Source organism: Homo sapiens, chromosome 6 (genome assembly GCF_000001405.40).
Source record: "Homo sapiens chromosome 6, GRCh38.p14 Primary Assembly".
Lineage (NCBI taxonomy): Eukaryota > Metazoa > Chordata > Mammalia > Primates > Hominidae > Homo > Homo sapiens.
Window position 1 is genome coordinate 153,107,393 of NC_000006.12, and position 24,091 is coordinate 153,131,483.

The following is a 24,091-nucleotide window of genomic DNA, read 5'->3' on the forward strand; positions in this document are numbered from 1 at the left end:
ATATTGTAGTTATGTCTGAAATGTCAAAAACAAGTTTAATACAAATTTAACAATACTTTATTTAAATATTTTATTTCATCTTGAAGCCTTTAGCTGTTTTTATAAGTTAAACCAAATAAATTCTGTAATGAATGTTTTATGCTGTTTGTAAAAAAAAAATTCAAGTACAAAATCAACTTCTTAAAGCCTATATTATATTATCTATTATATTGGGGACTATGGTAATGAAATTTTAACTCCACCCAAACACACAACTTAAAAAAAATAATATTTAAAAGTCTTAGCTGTAAAAATATCACTTGCTCTGTTTCACCTGAAATCGTTGCAAGTGTTGGTTGGGTACCTGCTACGTCTTCTCCACATCTATCATTTCAAAACAAATAAAACACCAACAGGTGCATTAGCTATCATTACATATTTTCCTGGAATACATTCAGATTCTTTTCTTTCATTTTCCCTTAGCAGCAATCAAATCCCTAACAGCTCTTGATAATTTCTCATTTCTTGCTTCAGTGCCATTCTTGAAAACAAAGCCATCCGTTATTGTGTATATGTCATTTAAAAAAATCACAGGTAAAAGGGGAGCTCAGATTGCTCCAAATGAGTGCTTTCAGGAAATAGTGCTTCTCCTATGATATGATTGGAAACCCTGAGTTCATGTCAGTTATGGGGCAATCTCCAAAATATCCATCCTCTCCCGTCCCCCAAAAAGTGCCACCTCCTTTTTTGTTATTTGAGGCTGCTTCTGCTCTTCATTCATTTCATTCCCATTCTGGCTGAGCACATTATACAGCCTCCGTACATAATTTTCCCAAAAGTTTAGACAAAATAAAATTGCTGCATTCCATCTTATCACCTAATATGCATCTGAGGAACATATTCCTTTAGGTTTTCTATCTCCATTAAATGTGATCTAAATGTTCTGGTATATCTCAAAATTCTTCTGCTTCAGTTAATTATGCTCTAAATTCTCAGAAATGTACCTCAGAATACTAGGAAACAAGTTTGGCAGGCAAATGGCAGAAATGGCACAGGGATGAAGATGAAACAGGCATTCATTCCTGGGAAATTCCTGGAGGGAAGTCAGATTTCCAGCCTGAGAAAAAATAAGCTCACTTCTCCCCCTTGTGCCCAGAACTTCAGATGCTATGAGCCATATATTTCCTTGAATGAGAGAAGGCAAGAGGGTGGAATCTCCTTCTTTTGACCTCTCATTCCAACATTTCTATACTGCAATTAATACATTTGTAGTAGTACAATATATTGGTTTGAAACAGACTGATGTCAGTTTTTAAAACAATTAAGGTGTAGAAAATTCCCCTACATTCCAATCTGATACAGCCACTACGCCTCTGGTACCCCTTCACTTAGCCTTATGTATTTGTACCTAATTAATGTATGAATGCAAGAGTGTGCATGTGTGTGTTTGCGTGTAGACAGACAGATCAATCTTTATAGCCTTGCTCTACAAAGGAGTCCAAATGGAGCTCTATGAACCAATTAAAAAAACCTCAAAGACCAAGTATAGCCATCTCATGGGGGCAGGCATTTTTGTCTGTTTTGTTCCCTAGTCAATCTGCATCTCTCAGAACAGTGCTAGCACATAGTGGGTGCTCAGTAAGTAATTTGTTTAATCAAAATCACTTACTCCTCTTTCCCAGACTATTTCTATAAAAGCCAAATGCAATCAAACATTAGAAACAAGCAAATAAACGATAATACAGGAAGTAAATGTAGTTTCTTACTCCATGGTTTGAAAAATCTGCAGCTAAACGCCATTTTTTTTTCATTTTTATTATTTCAACTTCAATTTCCTGTTTATCCCCTTCTTTTGAATGACAGTTCACTGTTCTGCCTTCACATAAGAGACGAGTGTATATTAAAATCTACCTTATTTCACATTTGCATTCCAAAGGGTACTTTGCCAATGAGTTTATGAGGCAATTATTTTTCCTTTAAATGTTCATTTCCATTTTTTAAGAGTATCTTCTTACTTGGTCAATTGCACACAGGCAACATTCACTAGATTGGACATCCTCTTGTGGAACAATCTAACAAATTATAGTCAGGAAAGTCTTTGCTTACTTGTGTGTTTGTTTTAGCAGCCGCACATTTGGTTAATGGACTAAGTAATACAGACAATATCACGATCAAACCTCCTCTTTCAGCATGGAAGGAAAATTAGATTGTATTTTAATCTGTCCTTTGCAAAGCTGTAAATACTTTTTATCATTTCAGATGCTTCAAGTAAAGCCATTAGAAAAAAACAATTTGTAACATTTGTCTCACAACATCTTTCTTCTGGTTAGGAGTTAAAATATTAGAGATAAGGAGATGAGGAAAAAAAGGACCCATGGACTTGGAGAGTGTCAGGGTGCCATTTAAACTTATCATGCTATATGAGTCTAAAACCTTTTGCTTGTCCGGAACCTTGGGGAAATTCCACTATCTCTAAACTGCAAACTTGCCCCCTGGGGCCCTGAGGCAAAGCCCAACATGGTGCCTGAATAATCAAAATTTCTTCCAAACATGAGATCTAACCTAAAAAACATACAAATAGATAAACAAATGAATCCATAAAAATGATATACTGTTTCCTAATATTTGTTTTTACTTTGATATGGAAACATTTTAAATTTCTCAAGAATGAATACAATTGATATTCTAGGAAATACCATGGTATTTTTCCTGACCCTTCTCCATTGATAATTTTGCTTTTCACGGCCAAGAAGCTCCATAGACCCAAAATCAGTGTCAAGAGAGTTTTGTTTGGTTCTACTACCCACCTCAGGCTGCTGTTAAGTTTCCTCTAGTTACTCTTCTCCTCTCCGTAGTTCTTTTAAACAACGAGTCCACATTCAAAGAGATGTTTGGCTCACTTCCTAGTCTATCTCCAGTCTTTCCTTTCCTGGTTCTAGTTTCCTCTTCAATTCTGATGAGCTTCTCTCTACCAGCACCTCTGCTTTTACATTTGTATGTCAGCAACTTGCTTTATACTTTAGGCAATTTTGATGGACTCTTTACTGCCAACATACACACACACACACACACACACACACACACACTTCAATATAATAAGGGTTTTGTTTTTAGCTACCAGGAAGGGTCATAAAAGGATGCATTGACTAATGACTCTTAGAAAGAACCCTGCGACATTATTAATGCAATAATAGCACAGATAGTCTCCAAAATTTAAATGGGCACTATATTAGTCTGTTTTCACACTGCTATAAAGAAATACCTGGTGGCTGGCAAGATGGCCAAATAGGAACAGCTCCAGTCTGCAGGTCACAGTGAGATCAACGCAGAAGGCAGGTGATTTCTGCATTTCCAACTGAGGTACCCAGCTCATCTCATTGCGACTGCTTAGACAGTGGGTGCAGCCCACAGAGGGCGAGCCGAAGCAGGATAGGGCATCGTCTCACCAGGGAAGCGCAAGCGGTTGGGGAACTCCCTCCCCTAGCCAAGGGAAACCATGAGGAAATGTGCTGTGAGGAATGGTGCACTCCGGCCTAGGTACTACACTTTTCCCACGGTCTTCACAACCCGCAGACCAGGAGATTCCCTCAGGTGCCTACACCACCAGGGCCCTGGGTTTCGAGCACAAAACTGGGCAGCCATTTGGGCAGACACCAAGCTAGCTGCAGGAGTGTTTTTTTTTTTCATACCCCAGCAGTGCCTGGAATGCCAGTGAGACAGAACTGTTCACTCCCCTGGAAAGGGGGCTGAAGCCAGGGAGCCAAGTGGTCTAGCTCAGCGGATCCCACCCCCACGGAGCCCAGCAAGCTAAGCTCCACTGGCTTGAAATTCTTGCTGCCGGCACAGCAGTCTGAACTTGCTGGGATGCTCGAGCTTAGTCGGGGGAGGGGCGTCCGCCATTACTGAGGCTTGAGTAGGCAGTTTTCCCCTCACAGTCTAAACAAAGCCGCCAGGAAGTTCAAACTGGGCTGACCCCACCACAGCTCTGCCAGGCCGCTGTAGCCAGACTGCCTCTCTAGATTCCTCCACTCTGGGCAGGGCATCTCTGAAAGAAAGGCAGCAGCCCCAGTCAGGGGCTTATAGATAAAGCTCCCATGTCCCTGGGACAGAGCACCTGGGGGAAGGGGTGGCTGTGGGTGCAGCTTCAGCAGATTTAAATGTTCCTGCCTGCCAGCTCTGAAGAGAGCAGCAGATCTTCCAGCACAGCACTTGAGCTCTGCTAAGGGACCGACTGCCTCCTCAAGTGGGTCCCTGACCCCCATGCCTCCTGACTGGGAGACACCTCCCAGCAGGGGTTGACAGACACCTCATACAGGAGAGCTACAGCTGGCATCTGGTGGGTGCCCCTCTGGGACAAAGCTTCCAGAGGAAGGAACAGGCAGCAATCTTTGCTGTTCTGCAGCCTCTGCTGGTGATACCCAGGCAAACAGGGTCTGGAGTGGACCTCCTGTAAACTCCAGCAGCAGGGGGGCCTGACTGTTAGAAGCAAAACTAGCAAACAGAAAGGAATAGCATCAACATCAACAAAAAGGACGTCCACACAAACCCCATCCGAAGGTCACCAACATCAAAGACCAAAGGTAGATAAATCCACAAAGATGAGGAAAAGCCAGTGCAAAAAGGCTGAAAATTCCAAAAACCAGAAAGCCTCTTCTCCTCCAAAGGATCACAACTCCTCACCAGCAAGGGAACAAAACTGGACGGAGAATGAGTTTGACGAATTGACAGAAGTAGGCTTCAGAAGGTGTGTAATAACAAACTCCTCTCAGCTAAAGAAGCATGTTCTAACCCAATATAAGAACCTTGAAAAAAGGTTACAGGAATTGCTAACTAGAATAACCATTTTAGAGAAGAACGAAAGTGACCTGATGGCACTGAAAAACAACATGAGAACATTGTGAAGCATACACAAGAATCAATAGCCATATTGATCAAGCGAAGAAAGGATATCAGAGATTGAAGATCAACTTAATGAAATAAAACCTGAAGACAAGATTAGAGAAAAAAGAATGAAAATGAATGAATAACGCCTCCACGAAATATGGGACTATGGAAAAGACCAAATCTACGTTTGATTGGTGTACCTGAAAGTGACAGGGAGAATAGAACCAAGTTGGAAAACACTCTTCAGGATATTATCCAGGAGAACTTCCCCAACCTATCAAGACAAGCCAACATTCCAATTCAGGAAATACAGAGAACACCACAAAGATACTCCTCGAGAAGAGCAACCCCAAGACACCTAATCGTCAGATTCACCAAGGTTGAAATGAAGGAAAAAATGTTAAGGGCAGCCAGAGAAAAAGGTCGGGTTACCCACAAAGGGAAGCCCATCAGACTAATAGCAGATGTCTCTGCAGAAACCCTACAAGCCAGAAGAGAGTGGGTGCCAATATTCAACATTCTTAAAGAAAGCAATTTTCAAACCAGAATTTCATATCCAGCAAAACTAAGCTTCATAAGCAAAGGAGAATGACATCCTTTACAGACAAGCAAATGCTGAGAGATTTTGTCACCACCAGACCTGCCTTACAAGAGTCCCTGAAGGAAGCACTAAATATGGGAAGGAAAAACCAGTACCAGCCACTGCAAAACATACCAAATTGTAAAGCCCATCAACACTATGAAGAAACTGCATCAACTAACAGGCAAAATAACCATCTAGCATCATAATGACAGAATCAAATTCACATATATCAATATTAATCTTAAAGGTAAATGGGCTAAATGCTCCATCCAATTAGAAGACACAGACTGGTAAATTGGATGAAGAATCACGACCCAACAGTGTGCTGTATCCAGGAGACCCATCTCATGTGCAAAGACACACATAAGCTGAAAATAAAGGAATGGAAGAATATTTACCAAGCAAAGGGAAAGAAAAAGAAAAAAAAGCAGGGTTGGCCATCCTTGTCTCTGATAAAACAGACTTTAAACCAACAAAAATAAAAAAAGACAAAGAAGGGCATTACATAATGGTAAAGGGATCAATGCCGCAAGAAGAGCTAACTATCCTAAATACATATGCACCCAATACAGGAGCACCCAGATTGATAAAGTAAGTTCTTAGAGGCCTATTAGGGACTTACACTCCCAAACGATAATAGTGGGAGACTTTAACACCCCACTGTCAATATTAGACAGATCAACGAGACAGAAAATTAACAAGGATATTCAGGACTTCAACTCAGCTCTGGACCAAGTGGACCTAATAGACATCTACAGAACTCTCCACCCCAAATCAACAGAATATATATTCTTCTTAGCACCACATTGCACTTATTCTAAAATTGACCACATAATTGGAAGTAAAACACTCCTCAGCAAATGCAAAAGAATGGAAATCATAACAAACAGTCTCTAGACCACAGTCCAGTCAAATTAGAACTCGGGATTAAGAAACTCACTCCAAACCGCTCAACTACATGGAAACTGAACAACCTGCTCCTGAAAGACTACCGCGTAAATAATGAAATTAAGGCAGAAATAAATAAGTTCTTTGAAACCAATGAGAACAAAGACACAAAGTACCAGAATCTCTGAGACACAGGTAAAGCAGTGTTTAGAGGGAAATTTATAGCACTAAAATGCCCACAGGAGAAAGCAGGAAAGATCTAAAATCAAAACCCTAACATCATAATCAAAAGAACTAGAGAGGCAAGAGCAAACAAATTCAAAAGCTAGCAAAAGATAAGAAAGAATTAAGATCAGAGCAAAACTGAAGGAGACAGAGACACAAAAACCCCTTCAAAAAAATCAATGAATCCAGGAACTGGTTTTTTTAAAAGATTAGCAAAATAGATAGACTGCTAGCCAGATTAATCAAGAAGAAGAGAGGGAAGAATCAAATAGACACAATACAAAATGATTAAGGGGATATCACCACTGATCCCACAGAAATACAAACTACATCAGAGAATACTATAAACACCTCTACACAAATAAGCTAGAAAATGTAGAAGAAATGGATAAATTCCTGGACACATAAACCCTCCCAAGACTAAACCAGAAAGAAGTCTCATCCCAGAATAGACCAATAGTAAGTTCTGAAACTGAGGCAGTAATTAATAGCCTACCAACCAAAAAAAGCCCAGGACCAGATGGATTCACAGCTGAATTCTACCAGAGATACAAAGAGGAGCTGATATCATTTCTTCCGAAACTATTCCAAACCACAGAAAAAGAAGGAATCTTCCCTAACTCATCCTATGAGGCTGGCATCATCCTGATACCAAAACCTGGCAGAGACACAACAAAAAGAAAATTTCAGGCCAATATCCCTGATGAACATCGACGCGAAAATCCTCAATAAGATACTGGCAAACTGAATCCAGCAGCACATTAACAAGCTTATCCACCATGATCAAGACAGCTTCATCCCTGGGATGCAAGGCTAGTTCAACATATGGAAATCAATATATGCAATCCATCACATAAACAGAACCAATGACCAAAAACACATGATTATCTCAATTGATGCAGAAAAGGCCTTCAATAAAATTCAACACCCCTTCATGCTAAAAACTCTCAATTAACTAGGTATTGATGGAACGTATCTCAAAATAATAAGAGCTATTTATGACAAACCCACAGCCAATATCATACTGAATGGGCAAAAGCTGGAAGCATTCCCTTTGAAAACTGGCACAAGACAAGGATGCCCTCTCTCACCACTCCTATTCAACATAGTATTGGAAGTTCTGGCCAGGGCAACCAGGCAAGAGAAAAAAAATAAAGGATATTCATATAGGGAGAGAGGAAGTCAAATTGTCTCTGTTTGCAGATAACGTGATTGTATATTTAGAAAACCCCATCATTTCAGCCCAATATCTCCTTAAGCTGATAAGCAACTTCAGCAAAGTCTCAGGATACAAAATCAATGTGCAAAAATCACAAACATTCCTATACACCAATAATAGACAAACAGAAAGCCAAATCATGAGTGTACTCCCATTCACAATTGCTACAAGGAGAATAAAATACCTAGGAATACAACTTACAAGGGATGTGAAGGACCTCTTCAAGAACTACAAACCACTGCTCAAGGAAATAAGAGAGGACACAAATGGTAAAACATTCCATGATCATGGATAGGAAAAATCAATATCGTGAAAACAGCCATACTGCCCAAAGTAATTTATAGATTCAATGCTATCCCCATCTAGCTGCCATTGACTTTCTTCACAGAATTAGGAAAAACTACTTTAAATTTCATATGGAACCAAAAAAGAGCCCGTATAGCCAAGACAATCCTAAGCAAAAAGAACAAAGCTGGAGGCATCACACTACCTGACTTCAAACTATACTACAAGGCTACAGTAACAAAAACAGCATTGTACTGCTACCAAAGAAGATATATAGAGCAATGGAACAGAACAGAGGCCTCAGAAATAATGCCACATCTACAATCATCTGATCTTTGACAAACCTGAGAAAAACAAGCAATGGGGAAAGGATTCCCTGTTTAATAAATGGTGTTGGGAAAACTGGCTAGCCATATGCAGAAAACTGAAACTGGACACCTTCCTTACACCTTATACAAAAATTAACTAAAGATAGATTAAAGACTTAAACGTAAAACCTAAATCTGTAGAAACCTTAGAAGAAAACCTAGGCAATACCATTCAGGATATGGGCATGGGCAAAAACTTCATGAGTAAAACACCAAAAGCAATGGCAATGAAAGCCAAAATTGACAAATGGGATCTAATTAAACTAAAGAGCTTCTGCACAGCAAAAAAACTATCATCAGAGTGAACAGGCAACCTACAGAATGGGGGAAAATTTTTACAATCTGTCTGTCTGACAAAGGGCTAATATTCAGAATCTACAAGGAACTTAAACAAATTTACAAGAAAAAAGCAAACAACCCCATCAAAAAGTGGGTGAAGGATATGAACAGACACTTCTCAAAAGAAGACATTTACACAGCCAACAAACACATGAAAAAAAGCTCATCATCACTGGTCATTAGAGAAATGCAAATCAAAACCACAAGGAGATACCATTTCACGCCAGTTAGAATGGTGATCATTAAAAAGTCAGGAAACAACAGATGCTGGAGAGGATGTGGAGAAATAGGAACGCTTTTACACTGTTGGTGGGAGTGTAAATTAGTTCAACCATTGTGGAAGACAGTGTGGCCAATTCCTCAAGGAACTAGGACCAGAAATACCATTTGACCCAGCAATCCCATTACTGGGTATATACCAAAAGGAGTATAAATCATTTTACTATAAAGACACATGCACATGTATGTTTACTGCAGCACTTTCCACAATAGCAAAGACTTGGAACCAACCCAAAGGCCCATGAATGACAGACTGGATAAAGAAAATGTGGCATATATACACCATGGAATACTAAGCCACCATAAAAAAGGATGAGTTCATGTCCTTTGCAGGGACATGGATGAAGCTAGAAACCATCATTCTCAGCAAACTAACACAGGAACAGAAAACCAAACACCACATGTTCTCATTCATAAGTGGGAGTTGAACAATGAGAACACATGGACACAGGAAGTGGAACATCACACACCAAGGCCTGTCAGGAGGTGGGGGACTAGGGGAGGGGTAGCATTAGGAGAAATACCTAATGTAGATAAGGGGTTGATGGGTGCCACAAACCACCATGGCACGTGCATACCTATGTAACAAACCTGCATGTTCTGCACATGTATCCCAGGACTTGAAGTATAATAATTTAAAAAAAGAAAAAATATAAATACCCGAGACTGGGTAATTTATAAAGGAAAGGGATTTAATTGACTCACAGTTCTGCATGGCTGGGGAGGCCTCAAGAAACTTACAATCATGGCGGAAGGTGAAGGGGAAGCAAGCTTGGACTTTCTCACATGGCAGCAGGAGAGAGAAGAATGAGAGTGAAAGGGGAAGAGCCTCTTATAAAACCATTAGCTCTTGTGAGAACTCATTCACTATCATGAAAACAGCATGGGGAAAACCGCCCCCATGATCCAATCAGCACCCACCAGGTCTCTCCCTAAACACGTGGGGATTATGGGAATTACAAATCAAGATGAAATTTGGGTGGGGACACAAAGCCTAACCATATCAGGCACTATCAAACAATCTCATCCAATATGAGAGGAAAAGGGGTTTGCCATGATATAGGACTCTTTGTACTCTTCCCACTTAGGCTCCGCCCCTTATAATCATGATCAATTCATATTAGTACCATTAATATTAGTACTCCTGCACCTTGTGAGTGGACAGAAAAGTATACAGAGAATATGTGCTCTTCCTCCAAACCCCAGTGTTCTTGATATTCTCAGGACAAAATTATGTCCTTATCATAATTATCATCTTCTTCTCAGCTAACATTTTAGGAAGCATTTACTCCATGCCCAATACTACCATCCTATTTATTATCACATCAGTACTGAGCTGAGTTCTTTCCCATTCATAAAACATTCATTCCTTCAACATATCAATCACTGGCACTGCTTGGTGTACTAGCTTACATTCTAGTTTCTGGAATGAGGGAGACTAATAATAAATACAATAATTTAACAGAGCAGTAAATACTGTTAAATAAAATGGATTATTGTTAGAGAGTGAGAGATATGAGGAGGGATGAAGAAGGGACCACATTAGGAAGACAGTTCTTAGAGTCTCTTTGAAGTGGTGACATTTGAATGGAAACTTGAATGATGAGAAAGACTGGGGGACAGCTTGTTAGGCAGAGGGAGTGGCAAGTGCCAAGGAAAGGAGGTTGCAGGGCACTTGGTGCTGTCTCTCCTCACGTTCATGGAACTATCCTTGCATCTCCTCTCTTGGATGTCCTCTTCCCTAATGCTCTCTTATGCTGATTTTTCACACCCAGGAGTATTCAGATGCCCATCTGGTCTATGCCCACAAGAAATATTACTGCCTTATTGGCTTTTACCAACCTCATCTTAATATTGCACACTTGACCTTCAAGGCCTTAAAGAAACAGCAACTTAAAGCAAACCTGCATCTTCAGCAGAACCACTGTTCATCACATTGTCTAACATGTCACTGTCTCTTATCTAAGAATGTATGGGATATACTCCTCATAGAATTTAGTGCCAGGAAACAAAAATTCTTCTGAAGATCTGTTTTCCTTCGTTAACCAATGAATTATAGGTAATCTTTCCTGTTATCCTTTTATTTTGGCTGCCAGGAACCACATAGCTAAAACGTAGTGCTCCTATTACAAAAATGATCTTACCCAGGTTTTGTGGTACATTCACTATTTCCCCCATTTATTTCTCTTGATGGTTTCTCATCTTTATTTTGTTTTTACTGCCTTGTGTGAAAGTGCTTTTATTTAAGCTGCCCCAAACTTTTTGGAAATAGATGATGTATAAATCATTAATCACCAAGTGCTTTTAACAATCACAAGTAACTTCCTCATTGCAAAATCTGATGTGTCATCCTGGTCTTGATCTTACTCACCCTTTCTGCCACATGACATAACTCACTGATCTTCTTTCTAATCTTTGGTGTAGGATTATTATACATATGAATAAAACTGGTAAAAAAAATCTCCACATCCTCGGTTTTATGGCATATTACAGTGTCTTCATTCTCTTTATAACACATTTTTATCCTATCTTATGTATGAATGTGTACATATATGAATATATGCATGTATACATGTATGTATGCATGTGTATATATTTAGTTTCCTTCTTTTTCCACATGCCCATTCATGCAGATATGCTCCAGGATTCTATTCTAAGCTCACCTGCTCTCTGCTCTCTCTCCTTTGACACTTTTCTACTATTGTTACCTGTATGTAAAAGACTTTCAAGTTTTATTTCTAGCTCTAGTCATTCTCTTGGGTTTGCAGTCCAAATTCTCTGGTACCATCTGGACCTCAGAGTTAGAATGAGGCCTTGTAGTTCATTCACCCTCCCAGTCATTGAGTTTCCTCCATGACATCTCTGCCAAGTATTTGTCCACCCTACATTTTTTCAGTGACATTAAACTTGCTACCTTTCAAGGCAGCTTACCTAACCAGCTGGCTATGACTCTTAAAAGTTATTTCAAGCCGGGCGCAGTGGCTCATGCCTGTAATCCCAGCACTTTGGGAGGCTGAGGCGGGTGGATCGCCTGAGGTCGGAGTTTGAGACAAGCCTGACCAACCTGGTGAAACCCTGTCTCTACTAAAAATACAAAAAAAATTAGCTGGCTGTGGTGGTGGGCACCTGTAATCACAGCTACTTTGGAGGCTGGGGCAGGAGAATTGCTTGAACCCGGGAGGTGGAGGTTGCAGTGAGCCGAGATCACGCCATTGCACTCCAGCCTGGGCAACAAGAGCAAGACTCCATCTCAAAAAAGAAAAAACGGTTATTTCCAATAGGATGGCAACATCTTTGTGATACATGTCCGCTGATTCTAATGCTATTCCTAAGGTAACAATAAGAGCTAAGACACATTGAATATGAAATGTGTTCCAGGGGCACTGCACATATTATCTCTCCACAACTCTGCAAGGTGGTTTTATTATTTTCATCATATCATTGGGACAATTTAGAATGTATAATCTTTTTCCACGGCTTTTCTCCAAATGGTGAAACACACATATCTTCCAGGGAAACCACTGTCTTCCAGGTTAAGAAAGTACAAATTCCTCCAACCATGTCTCACACAAATTATTTTGTTTTGTAAGTGAATTTCACCACCTATATTCTTGACCTCTAACCATGGTGTCAAAAATAAGTTCAAAATAACATTGCAATTGTGACTTGGATATGCAGAATAGAACGTAACGATTGCCAACTTCATTCTGGACGCTATATGGCTCTACTGACATAGCCTAAGATCATACTTGTTACTTCCTACTTAATCAAATAATATCCCTGAGGCTTTTTAATCAATGGCGTGCTAAACATCTGCAAGAATTCTGATGGCTATGTCAAACTACTGAACTCAACTTATTTCCTCACTAACCTCTTCATGAGTTTGACTTGTCCATGTCTTATGACATCCTTATTTCCCAGACTCATAGGCTAAAATGCTCCCTGACAGCTTTATAGCTCCTCTTACATCTTCTAGATCTTTTTGTTCACCAAGTCTTGAAGGCTCTGACTCAAACATTTTCTCACATCATCATCTTCCCATGGACCCTGCCTTTTGCTGTTTCTCAGTTTAGGCCTCTTCTCTCACCTGGACAGCTGAAATTGTGGTGTTCCTACTTCCCTTGACCGCCCCCCTGCATGGACTGATGAAGCGCCTGTCCCATAGCACAGCTCCCGCCCGGTAATCCTCCGCTTAGAGAGCTTCAGCAGCACTCTGCCTAGCAAGGAAAATTCCACCTTTTTACTCTGATATTAGCAGCTGCCAGTATATGTCTTCTTTTTTAGCCTTATCATCTAGTGATTTCCTGCGAGTACTGTATGCTTTTGAAATATTGTGCACAAAATGGTTTTAATTTTCCTGATTCTGCATCTATCTTTATTTACATTGTTTTTGAGCCTGGAGACACCTTTCTTTGTCTGTCAAAATTCTATCTTTCAATAATCCGAGAAAATGTCACAACCTCTATGACACTTTTGCCAGATCCTGGTCTAGCCATTTAAAATTAATCTCATGCTGCTGAGTTCTCACAGCATTTTAGTTCTCTCCTAGAATATAATAATAACAGAAATTTACATATAGGTCTTATCTCTTTATTCTTTAGGCTCCCTCAGACTTGTTCATGTTTTTTTTTTTAATTTTGCTATTCTTTGGTACAGAGTAAGGATTGAATTACACAGCACATTAATTAAGAAAAAGGAGGCAGAAAACAGAAGAGGTAAAACTGATGAGTAGCAGAAACTAAAGAAAACTTGGAAATCTAATGCAAACACTTGGAAATTCAGACCCACACAGGCTGTATTTACCAATGCACCGAAAGACTTTTCTCTCTTTCCTTTGTTGCTGCCTCTCTCTAACATAACATTTTAGACTGTATCCTCTGAACTCTACTTTCAGGAACATAACCTATTTCTTTTTCCCTAAAATCTAACCAGACTAGAACTCTCTTGGGGGCAACAGTCAGAGGCCAGCACACCAAGTGCCAAAGTTGATTTTGGTTGCAATCAGCCACCTCACTGAGTAACTACATTCAGTGATCCTACTAAGCCATAAATCCACATTCTCTTAAAAATAATCTCAGTGGCAATGAGCAGACAAGCTTTTCCAAGCTCACTTGTTACTCCCCCAAAGTCTTAATAAATATTTTAGATATTAAGTCATTGCAATGTCCTGTTGCTCAATAAAAATAAAAAGCTTATCATACACATTTATTCACTGCTGTTATTTTGAAACAAGACATAAAGGTCTTTACATCACAAAGATACAGTTGATTTTATATAAGATGTACTCGAAATAGTTGCATTTAGAAAGAAAACTTGGGAATAGATTCTTTATCAATGTGATTGAATTTCAGTATCACCTACGAGAATTTTAAACTATTTAACATAACCTATGTTAGGTCAAGAAAAGGGCTTCACATTTTTTCCTTCCTGGAATTAACATTTATTTAATGGAATTCTACCTTACGAAACCCCACTTGCATTACCCAGATGTTCAGTCAATGAAATTACTGAATTAATGGGAAAAAATTACCTTCTTAAGATTAGGTCACATGAATTCACAAAACTGGAAGTGGTTACATAATATAGCAGAGTTACATAATAACGTATTGAATGATATTATACTTTAAGATATAATGAGTTTTTAACTAATAGTCTTGTTTTCTGAGCCCAGCCTTCCTGCTTTTTACTTGACTCTCCTTCTCATCTCATTTGTGCCTCCCCCTCTATTCTCAAGTATGTATCCTTTCTTCCTGAATATTTGGCTATGATTACGTAGGCACCATATCAGTTGTTTCCCATAAATAAAAGGGGAAACATACATATATGCATACATTGACACATAAAATCATCTTTTCAAAATATTACATTTTGGAGACAATTCCAGTGTGGGAAGGATTTCTCTATTGTTTGGTTTTGAGTACTCAAAATGATAAATAAATGTAACTTTCAACTAAATCCATCATTTATATAAACATAGGTGGGTCATTAGACATTGAATTTACTGAAAGTAATTTAGTTTAAAATGTTTCTTCATCAGTGAAAATTGAAGTTACTGGACTTGAGTAGATGAAGAAAACATGGACTCCAATAGCTTGAGTCAAAATTGCCAATATTATTTACTGATAAACTAGCATAGAAATTACAATCAGGGCAGTTTATTCCTACCAGAAGAAAATAAGACAGTAGGGTTTTTTGTTTGTTTGTTTTTTCCTGGCAGATAGAACATTTGAGCTCTTGATATGTTTTAAATTTCAGGCAACAAAATTATGTAAATATCCTAAAATTACATAAAATATGAGTAAACACCTATTTTTCTATGAACTATTAGATGTATGAAAAGCAAAGATGCTCCTTTCTCCTCAATTTATCTATTTAGAAATACTAATAACAATAATAATCATAAGAGAGTGTGGGGAAAATCAAATGTCAAGCCTCACCCAAACAGTAGGTAGGGAAAATGTTAGTATTCCAATTCACAATGAAGCCTTTTACTCCAATGTACATTGGAGTAAATTGGAGTATTTAATACTCCAATGTACATTGGAGTACATTGGAGTACATCAGAGTACATTGGAGTATTTAATACTCCAATGTACACTGGAGTAAATTGGAGTATTTAATACTCCAATTCACAACACGGCATTCAGTTAATCATAATAGTTTGTAAATTATATAGGTCATTGTATTGCTTTATAGCATGTCTATGCCTTAGTGCCCTAATAAAAGACACTAGTTTTCCTTTGCTTTTATCTAGTGAATTTTGATCATACTAAACTCATAGGTCACAGGTAAATTACTGTATGGTAGTGCTGAGTGGCAATAAATTGAGAAAGAAATAGGTTCAAATCTTACATTAGCATACATTTTTACTTATTAAGAGCCCGGTCAAAGATTTAATGACAAGAATGTTAAATGTAGTGGCTGACAGGAGTGCTGAGCTTACCTTCAAGTTAATTCATTCCTAATGTCAATGTCTTTCATTTCCATACTTAGATATATTAACTATCTATTCATCACATATTTCTAGAACGGGTTTGAAGTCTTCACTCTGATCTTATAAATCATACAAAATCTTTCCAGATCGGAGCAAATCTAACTGCTAGATTTAGAAATTGCCCTAGTGATTTTAACAAGTTGATATTGGAGATGGTTTTCTTTCTCAAACTTAAATGTATTTATTCTTCATCCAAACTGAGGATTCTGGGGTTTTGGTCAAGGTACTATATTATAAACAGATTGTAATCAAAGATGGAACTGCAGCAGTATCAGGAAAAAATTCTAAAATATTGCTAGTGCATGGGAAATGTGGACCCGGAAGAAGGGCAGGGATCTCACTCTCCTTCCCTTTTGTTCATCCCCTACACCAGCGTTTTAGAATATCTTACATTACAATGATTACGCAGGGTAGCCTACAAGTGAGAGGGGAAAAGGCATAGTACAGATGTATGTACACATTTTCTTTATTTCAATGAGAAGGAATTGGGTGTTGAGGTCGGTTCACAAAGAGGGTTAAGCCTCCAGTCTGTTGTTGTTCTGATACTATGGTGGAGGTTGTTAAATCATCCACCAACAGAGCCACTTCCTGCTTTTCTTCCCCTTATCTCTGAGTCTCTGCTTAGCAGCTTGCTTGAACATTAGTTGTAGAGGCTCCTAAATTTTGAGATCAATTGGTCTATTGCTAAACCCTAAGGAAATCATTGCCTATTACTCCCATGTTGTATTTAGCTATGACTTCAAAGCTTAGAATGACCAGTACTCACTAGATAAAAGAAAAATAACTTGAAGAAGCTTATATGTGAACTCCTTGTGGAAAGGGGCCACGTTTAATTAATCTTTGTATCCAAAAATATCACACAGCCTAGCACATAGTGGGTGCTCAAATATGTTTGTAAGCAGGTTGGTGAAACAAACTAGTCAGGAAAGGATAACACACGAAATACATGGAGAACAACCTAAACATTAATAAGGACCAATTAGTTAAGACAAATACTGGCACGAAATTAAAACCCCTTCAAGCCCTTATTGTTTACATGATGTTTCTTGTACCTATTTTGATTTATTAAGTCTAATACAATACCTAACACTTCCATACTGAGTACCAATATATGAAAGATTTTATAGACATAATTTCTTTTAATCCTTTAACATTTTTAAATTGTCTTCAGTTTTACAGATAATGATACTAAGGCTCAAAGAAGTGAAGGCTAAATCCCTGGTTATTTGAATCTAAAACCTGGGCTCTTTCCACCAAATTACATTCTCTGCTTTTAAAGTCTCCTTCTTTTAAGGGCAATTTTCCATAAGCTTTTTTACTTCATGTGAATTAAATAATATGGATTGCTGTGTTTCAAATAGCAAACTTTCAAATATTTGTTGAGTTTGATTAATCAAATCCTGAAAAAATAGGAGAGTTTAGGGTAATAGGACGTGGACATAGGGTCGTCTACCAAGAGCCAAAACTGACTCATAAAATCTGTAGATTACATGACTTATCATAAATACACCAAAATAACAGGCTCCCACCTTTCATAGAGACTGGAAAATAGAGAAAGTGACAACTTTCACAAGAGACTTCACTGGATTTAACTCACTATATTATTGGGAAGATTCAAGAAAATTTTTAAAATGAAATAAACACTCACCTGCTCATTCCATTTATGTCATAATTTCCCCCAGGTTGTGTCTGTTTTACTGTAATGCCATGGCTCTTGAATTATAACCTGTGTATTTCAACAGCCAATCAGCAGTACTGTACTGTGAAAAGCCTGTGACCCAAGATAAGGAAGTAAATATTTGCTTTGTGAACCACAATCATTGACTACAATAGAATTATATTTACTGACACAGGGAATTTTTAAAAATCTCACATACAAAGCTTAAGAAATTCAGTGATTTTAGATATTTATTAATCATGCTAGAATACTAAGTATAAAATACTTCTATAATTTCATGAAAAAGCCTGCATATCTAATAAATAGTAGAGTAAAAATTCAAATCCATTTCTATTTGAAATAGATTTTATTTTCCACCATAGGTCATTGCTTCTCCTATAGGGACCTCCCATCATTATAAATTCTGAATTACTCAGGTTTTACTGTATTTGATAAACTGGTACCACTGATGATTATAAAATTTTACACTTTCAGCTGGGCGCAGTGGCTCACGCCTGTAATCCAGCACTTTGGGAGGCTGAGGTGGGTGGATTGCTTGAGCCCAGGAGTTCAAGACAAGCAAAACCCCGACTCTACAAATAATACAAAAATTAGCTGGGCGTCGTGGTACACACCTGTAGTCCCAGCTCCTGAGGTGGCAAGATCACCTGAGCCCAGGGAGGTTGAGGCTACAGTGAGCCATGACTGAGCCACTGCACTCCAGCCTGGGTGACAGAGTGAGACCCTGCCTCAAAAAACAAAACAAAAACATTTATACTTTCTAGATAGTTTAATACCTAAGGACTTTATAGATTTTCCAAGCTAGATAATTAAACTTTTGAAACCAAATTTGTCAAAAGTTATAGAACTTAAAAAGTCAAAAACAGGAGCTTACAAGACCACTGAATCATGTGAAACATTGCAGATACAGAGCTCGTTAAGGTAACACATTAAATTCTTACTTTTAACATGTGTAAATTTCACCTAGAGCTTAGTAGTTGAAGTAAGGTATGATTCTAACCTGACATGGTTTTATAATTTAGCTTAACTGACTCATTCTGATGAGAAATCAAATGAATGTCCCTATGATCTCTATGTACTCCCATCTTTCCTTTCAACCCCTTTATCTCAGAAAAACTCAGAAGTTCTTCCATAACATTGGCAACTGGCAGAAACAATCCACGACTATCTGGGAACTCTTCAGACACAAGCTTCTCATAGTAAGGTGTTTGTGAGCAAATTGTTTACTGATTCCGGACTTCTAAAAAGAAGTGTAAAGGTTGGAAAACTCAGGGGTGTAGCAGTATATGATGAACCCCAATGCCCTGGCTGATCCAGCTTTTCTGGTTTAGCCACAGTGATCTTTGTCACTGAGCATTTCCTTTCCTTGTTTGCTTCTGCCTTTTAAAAAATTAATATTAGCACTCAAACAAATAAGAAAAATGTACCAGAACAGCAGTGGAAACACAGGCTAAAGACTTGAACGAGCCATCCTCAAAGACAAAAACTGCTTATCAGTATGTCAAAAAGTAATCAGTCTTATTGGTAGCCAAAGAAATAAAAGTTTGAAAAATATTATTTTCACCTATCAAGTTAGCAAAGATTTTTTAAAGAATGGCATTATGTTGGCAAGAACTAGCTGTTCTAAGCATCGTGCCCAAAGGAGAAACTGCAATAGAGATACGCATACAAAATTTAGGCATGAGGATCAAAATCCAAAGATAAAAGAATGGCTAAATAAAGACATTCATAAGGTGAACTATATCACTAAATCGCATTAAAAATATCAATTTTAATTTCTTGAGAAACAGCAACAAAGGAATGTTAATTTTTTTAGAAATATGAAGTTCTAAAACAGCCATCCCAACCTTTTTGGCACCAGGGACCGGTTTCATGGAAGACAATTTTTCCACGGATGGCAGTGGGGGTGGGGGAATAGTTCTGGAATGAAACTGTTCCACGTCAGCTCATCAGGCATTAGATTCTCATAAGGAGTGCACAACCTCAATTCCTTGCATGCGCAGCTCACAATAGGGGTCACGCTCCTATGAGAATCTAATGCCAGCCGCTGATCAGACAGGAGGAGGAGCTCAGGAGGTAATGCTCACTTACCAGCCACTCACCTCCTGCTGTGCTGCTGGCTTCCCAACAAGTCATGGGCTGGTACCCGTCTGCAGCTCAGGGGTTGGGGACCCCTGTTCTAGAATATGATTCAAATTCTTAAAACAATGGTACGTTTATATAAAGCAAATAAACTTGTGGTAAACCATGCTGTGTTTTCAATAGCAGTTCTTTAGGTATTGAGATAATTATAAGCACTCAGTACATGCCAAGCACTATGTTCAGTACTTTATATACATTGCATTGTATTTATGCTTGCATCCTGCCTTCATCCCTCTTGTATGTCTGAGGAAACTGAGGCTCAGGACAGATTAGTAACTTGCCTACAGCAATAAAGTTTTTAAAGGGAGGAGCCACAATACAAGCTAAAGCCAGCTTGACCCAAAATTCATGCTCTTCACATCCATATCTGCCTATAGGTAATTTTGTATCGTAGGGGATCTAAGATAAGCAAATATAGAGCTTTTATAATTGGGAAACAAATCAGTAATATAAATGTTGTATTAAACACATATATATTCCCAAAACGACAATTCTGAAAATTGCTTCCTCCAAAGATGTAGGACCATAAACACGAGTTTTAGGAGCCCAACTAGTGTACTTGGTAAACAGTGTAAGTGCTGATTTTAAAAATGCAATTCTTACCTTGGAAGACTTTTGCGAGCCATGTCGACCCTGCAAAATTTATTAATTTAGGAAAAATTATTTTACACCTGCCTTTGCCACATACTGTGCCAGGTGCTGGCACAATAGCAGGAATGATCGTCTAAATGAATTTCTTTGGAAGTTAGGAAAGTGTCTTTTTTTCAGAGATAAGTGTGGGTAGGGAGAGAAGGAAGGTGGGAGTATCCATCAATCTCACACTGAAAGTCTTGGCTACCTATTGGCTACCTATAGCAAAGGATTATTTTAAGGTTTTCCATAAAAATATATTTGTCTGAGGACCCTTGACACTCCCTTGGAAATGTCATATAATTTTACGCCTCCACAATGCATTCACACTTACACTCTAACTATACCAATCAGGTGAAATAAAATGCTTTTAACATCACATAGCATTATTCTCAACCTCTGGGTATATAGCGGTCCTTCGATTTGCCCTCTTTGGTAGTGCAGTATTCTCAGTGTTAAGTAAGCAGAGTTGGAGAGTATCAGAAACAGGATTCTCAGCAGAAATGTGGTTGAATGGACTCCCAGCCCTCTTGGCATCGTACCTCATCATCCATGCCTACCTTCCTTTTCCAGGAAAGCCCATGTATTTTAGCAAACGGACTTCTGACACAAAGGCCATTATCTCTACGGCTTTAGATTAAAAGGTAAAATCTTTCTTAGACTTTACTCTGCAAGTCAACCAGAATTTTGATCAATTCAGATTTAAAATTTTCACTTTTACTTGGCTGTTACAGTAAGATCAAACGGGTAAGAATATATATTTCTCCTTTTCTTCAAAGACCGTGGCCCTCGTGGTAGGAAATGTTAAGGAAGGTTTATTATTATTATTATTTATTATTATGCAAAAGTATAAAATGGTCACAGGAATAAGGAACTTAGACCTTAAACATGATGAATTCAAATAAATAAGTACCTCAGAGGAAGAGCCCTACAACCAAAGAGATACCTATTTGAGAAGGAAATGCTGTTTGCCTTAGAATGAACAGGATAGTAAATTAACTCTCCTTGTTAATTCCCTTCCGTGGGGACTAAACGCCAAGGAGTAGTTGCGGAACTATAGCAAAAAGGGTCGAAATCAATCAGCATAACAGACACCTTATGTTATTTGTTCTGTAAATTCGACGGTTTTCTTAATCGTTCAGACTAATTTCAGGAGGAAGGATGAGTGCCCCTGGCTCTGAGATCACGTGTCATTGCCATGGAGATTTATCTTATTTAATAAGTAATACCACTCAATCTTTTTGTAATAACGAACACTTCTTTTCTTGTTACCTCAAACTAAATAAACTACTCTCCTATGGTGGCTCTAAGTGCGGGTTTCAAAAGACTATAAAAACTAGTGAATAAATCCAGTCTCCCATGAGTGTGCTAATTACTGTTTTAGTTCATGTTAACAGAAGAAATGGCTTAACAACAGTAACAACTGGAGGAGGTCAAACTTCTCATTCATTTGTATTAAATCACCCTTCCATTAGATAGGAGTGCTATAATGCATATTTCTTGGATAATACTCTCACTACAGAAGACTTCGGAAACAAGTACAATGTACTTTAAATGTTTCACGGTTTGCAAATTATTTCGTACACGCAGCGTCTGGCAGTTGTGAATCGAGGAGGAAAGCATTATTTTCCACTACACTAATAAAAATCAATTCTCACGTCTTCAATTAAATGATTTTCAGAAGGGTTCATCACCCGGAAAACCAGTATGTATGAACGCCGGAAATGCAGATGGCACCCAGCCTCAGAACTGCTTATTCTAGATGGGAACCAAACTAAGATTTCTCTTTATTATTTGTGAAAGCCATCCCACGCTGGAGAGAATCTCGCCGTAAAACAATTTAAGAAAAGAAAGAAATAACTCTGAAGAGTGTGAAGTTCTCCAGACAAATCTTATAGTGAATCTTTTGAAAGAAGCATTTATGGAAAGGTCAGGGGAGGTCAGGAGAGTTATGCCAGGAGCCAGGGTCAATCGTCCCCGGGCGACAGGGGTTCTCCCACGTGAACCGACGTCCCGGGCTCCGGGCGAGGCGCAGGGCTCAGGGCGCAGGGCGGGTCCCGTACGCAGGGCGGGCGCGCGGGCATCTTTGTGGCCAGGCGACCCCGGCTCGCTCTCCCGGAGCCCAGGGACTCCCGAGGCTGGCGCGGGCTGCCCGCGACAAGGTGCCAGCAGCCTCGGGCTCGCGAGGAGCAGCTCCCACCCGCGGCTTCCGAGTCCAGCTCTGTCCCTCCGCCATCCCCTAGTCCTCCGGCATTTATTCAGGGAGACAGGGAGGCAGAGAGAAGAGGAGAAAGCGGCCGTGTCTGCACCCAGCCTCTGCCGCAGCACTCGATGAGGGACAGCAGGGAGGCTGGCGGGGAGGCAGAGATTAAACTATGATTCCATCGATCACGGAAAGACCACCATCACCTACAGCAAAGGAGGCTCCGATGCGCCCACCCGGGCAGCGACTCGCGGTTGGTGGGCGTTCCTCGTCCTCGCCCCCTCGGTGGCTGTGGAATCCACCCCGCGCCGCACACGCCAGGACTCCCTTTCCTTTGACTAAGGGGAGGGGAAGGAACAAAAGAGACCCCCCACCCCCTATACATACATACACATACACACACACACACACACACACACACCCCTCCGGTATTTTACTGCTGGTCAAAGGATTCATTTTCGCAACCTCTTCTTCGAACACCTTCCCCACCTGAGCAGTGCATTTTCCCAAAGGTAAAGAGAGATAAGGGAGGAAACACAGCACCCAAGGTGATCAGTCGATTGGACACTGTTGATGGCACATTCTCCTCGTTCCCAACCAACCGCACAAAACCCGCAACACCTCGCGTCCCCGCGGGGTCTCCCGCGCCCCTGGCCCGGCCCTCCCGGCCGCCCCCAGCAGGCGCCCCGCTCTCCGCGGGAACTCTGGGACCTGGCCGAGCGTTCCCCGGCGGGCAGGACACTCGCCCGGTTCCCTGCAGCAGCTGAGGGCGGCGAGCGGACCGCGTCCAGGCAGCGACGCGGGATTCAACTTCCCGGACCCGCGGCGCGGCCCCCGCTCCCGCTCAGGGCGCCGCGGCCACAGCTGAGACCCCAGCGCCGCGCAGCCGCCCCCGCCGGGGCATGGGCGGTCGCGCTCTCCGCCCCCTCCTTCCTTCACCTCCCCCCTACCTTGAAAAAAATCCATCCATTGGTGCAAAGCAGACATTTTGATGTCATTTACTTAGCACCGCTTGTTTTGGAGGCAGCGTCTTACCCGGTCGCCTGGAGGTGTGGGCAGCGCGCCGATGGGTCCGGGGGAGCGGGGCTGGGCGGCTCGGTCCTCTAGCGGAGCCGGTTTGCTGCCATCCGCCCAACTTCAGCACCCAGCGGGCGAGGAGAGAGGGAGAGCGGCGAGGATGCAGAGGAGGGGGAGGGGGAGGAGGGAGCGGTGGGCGGGGAGGGAGCGAGAGCCGCTCGGCAGCGCGCATGCGCCTCGCGGGCCGGCGCAGCCCCTCGCCCGGCGCGGCCGGAGGGGCAGCTTCCCAGCCCCTGCGCGCGGCCGCGAGAGTCCCGGCCCCGCCCCCTCCCCGGGCGGCCCCCGGCCCCGCCCGACCTCGCGCGCTCGCCTGGGCGC

General features: G+C 40.4%; 1 protein-coding gene across 4 annotated transcripts in view, besides 2 other annotated features; it reads right to left on the reverse strand.

Annotated features, from left to right (window-relative positions):
* The window catches only part of RGS17 (regulator of G protein signaling 17), a 126,824-nt gene extending 102,934 nt beyond the window's left edge, over positions 1 to 23,890 (reverse strand). The window contains exon 1 of one of the 4 annotated variants that reach the window (NM_012419.5): positions 23,732 to 23,890. Coding sequence is in view for 2 of the 4 variants with exons in the window: in XM_047418634.1 (XP_047274590.1) it covers positions 23,647 to 23,666 (20 nt within the window). In the remaining 2 variants the exon portion in view is untranslated. Of the gene's footprint in view, positions 1 to 17,691; positions 18,259 to 22,906; positions 23,330 to 23,646 lie in introns of those variants that run through there. The other 3 variants (XM_047418634.1, XM_047418636.1, XM_047418635.1) reach the window with 3 other exon arrangements.
* Positions 3,982 to 4,661: an enhancer, noted in NCBI's record as "H3K27ac-H3K4me1 hESC enhancer chr6:153432509-153433188 (GRCh37/hg19 assembly coordinates)". NCBI's record gives its function as "activates a minimal SCP1, AML or CMV promoter by ChIP-STARR-seq in primed H9 embryonic stem cells {active_cell/tissue: H9 hESC(primed)}" and the evidence as "EXISTENCE:reporter gene assay evidence [ECO:0000049][PMID:30033119]".
* Positions 23,772 to 23,821: a silencer, noted in NCBI's record as "silent region_17695". NCBI's record gives its function as "represses an Ori minimal core promoter by ATAC-STARR-seq in GM12878 lymphoblastoid cells {active_cell/tissue: GM12878}" and the evidence as "EXISTENCE:reporter gene assay evidence [ECO:0000049][PMID:35858748]".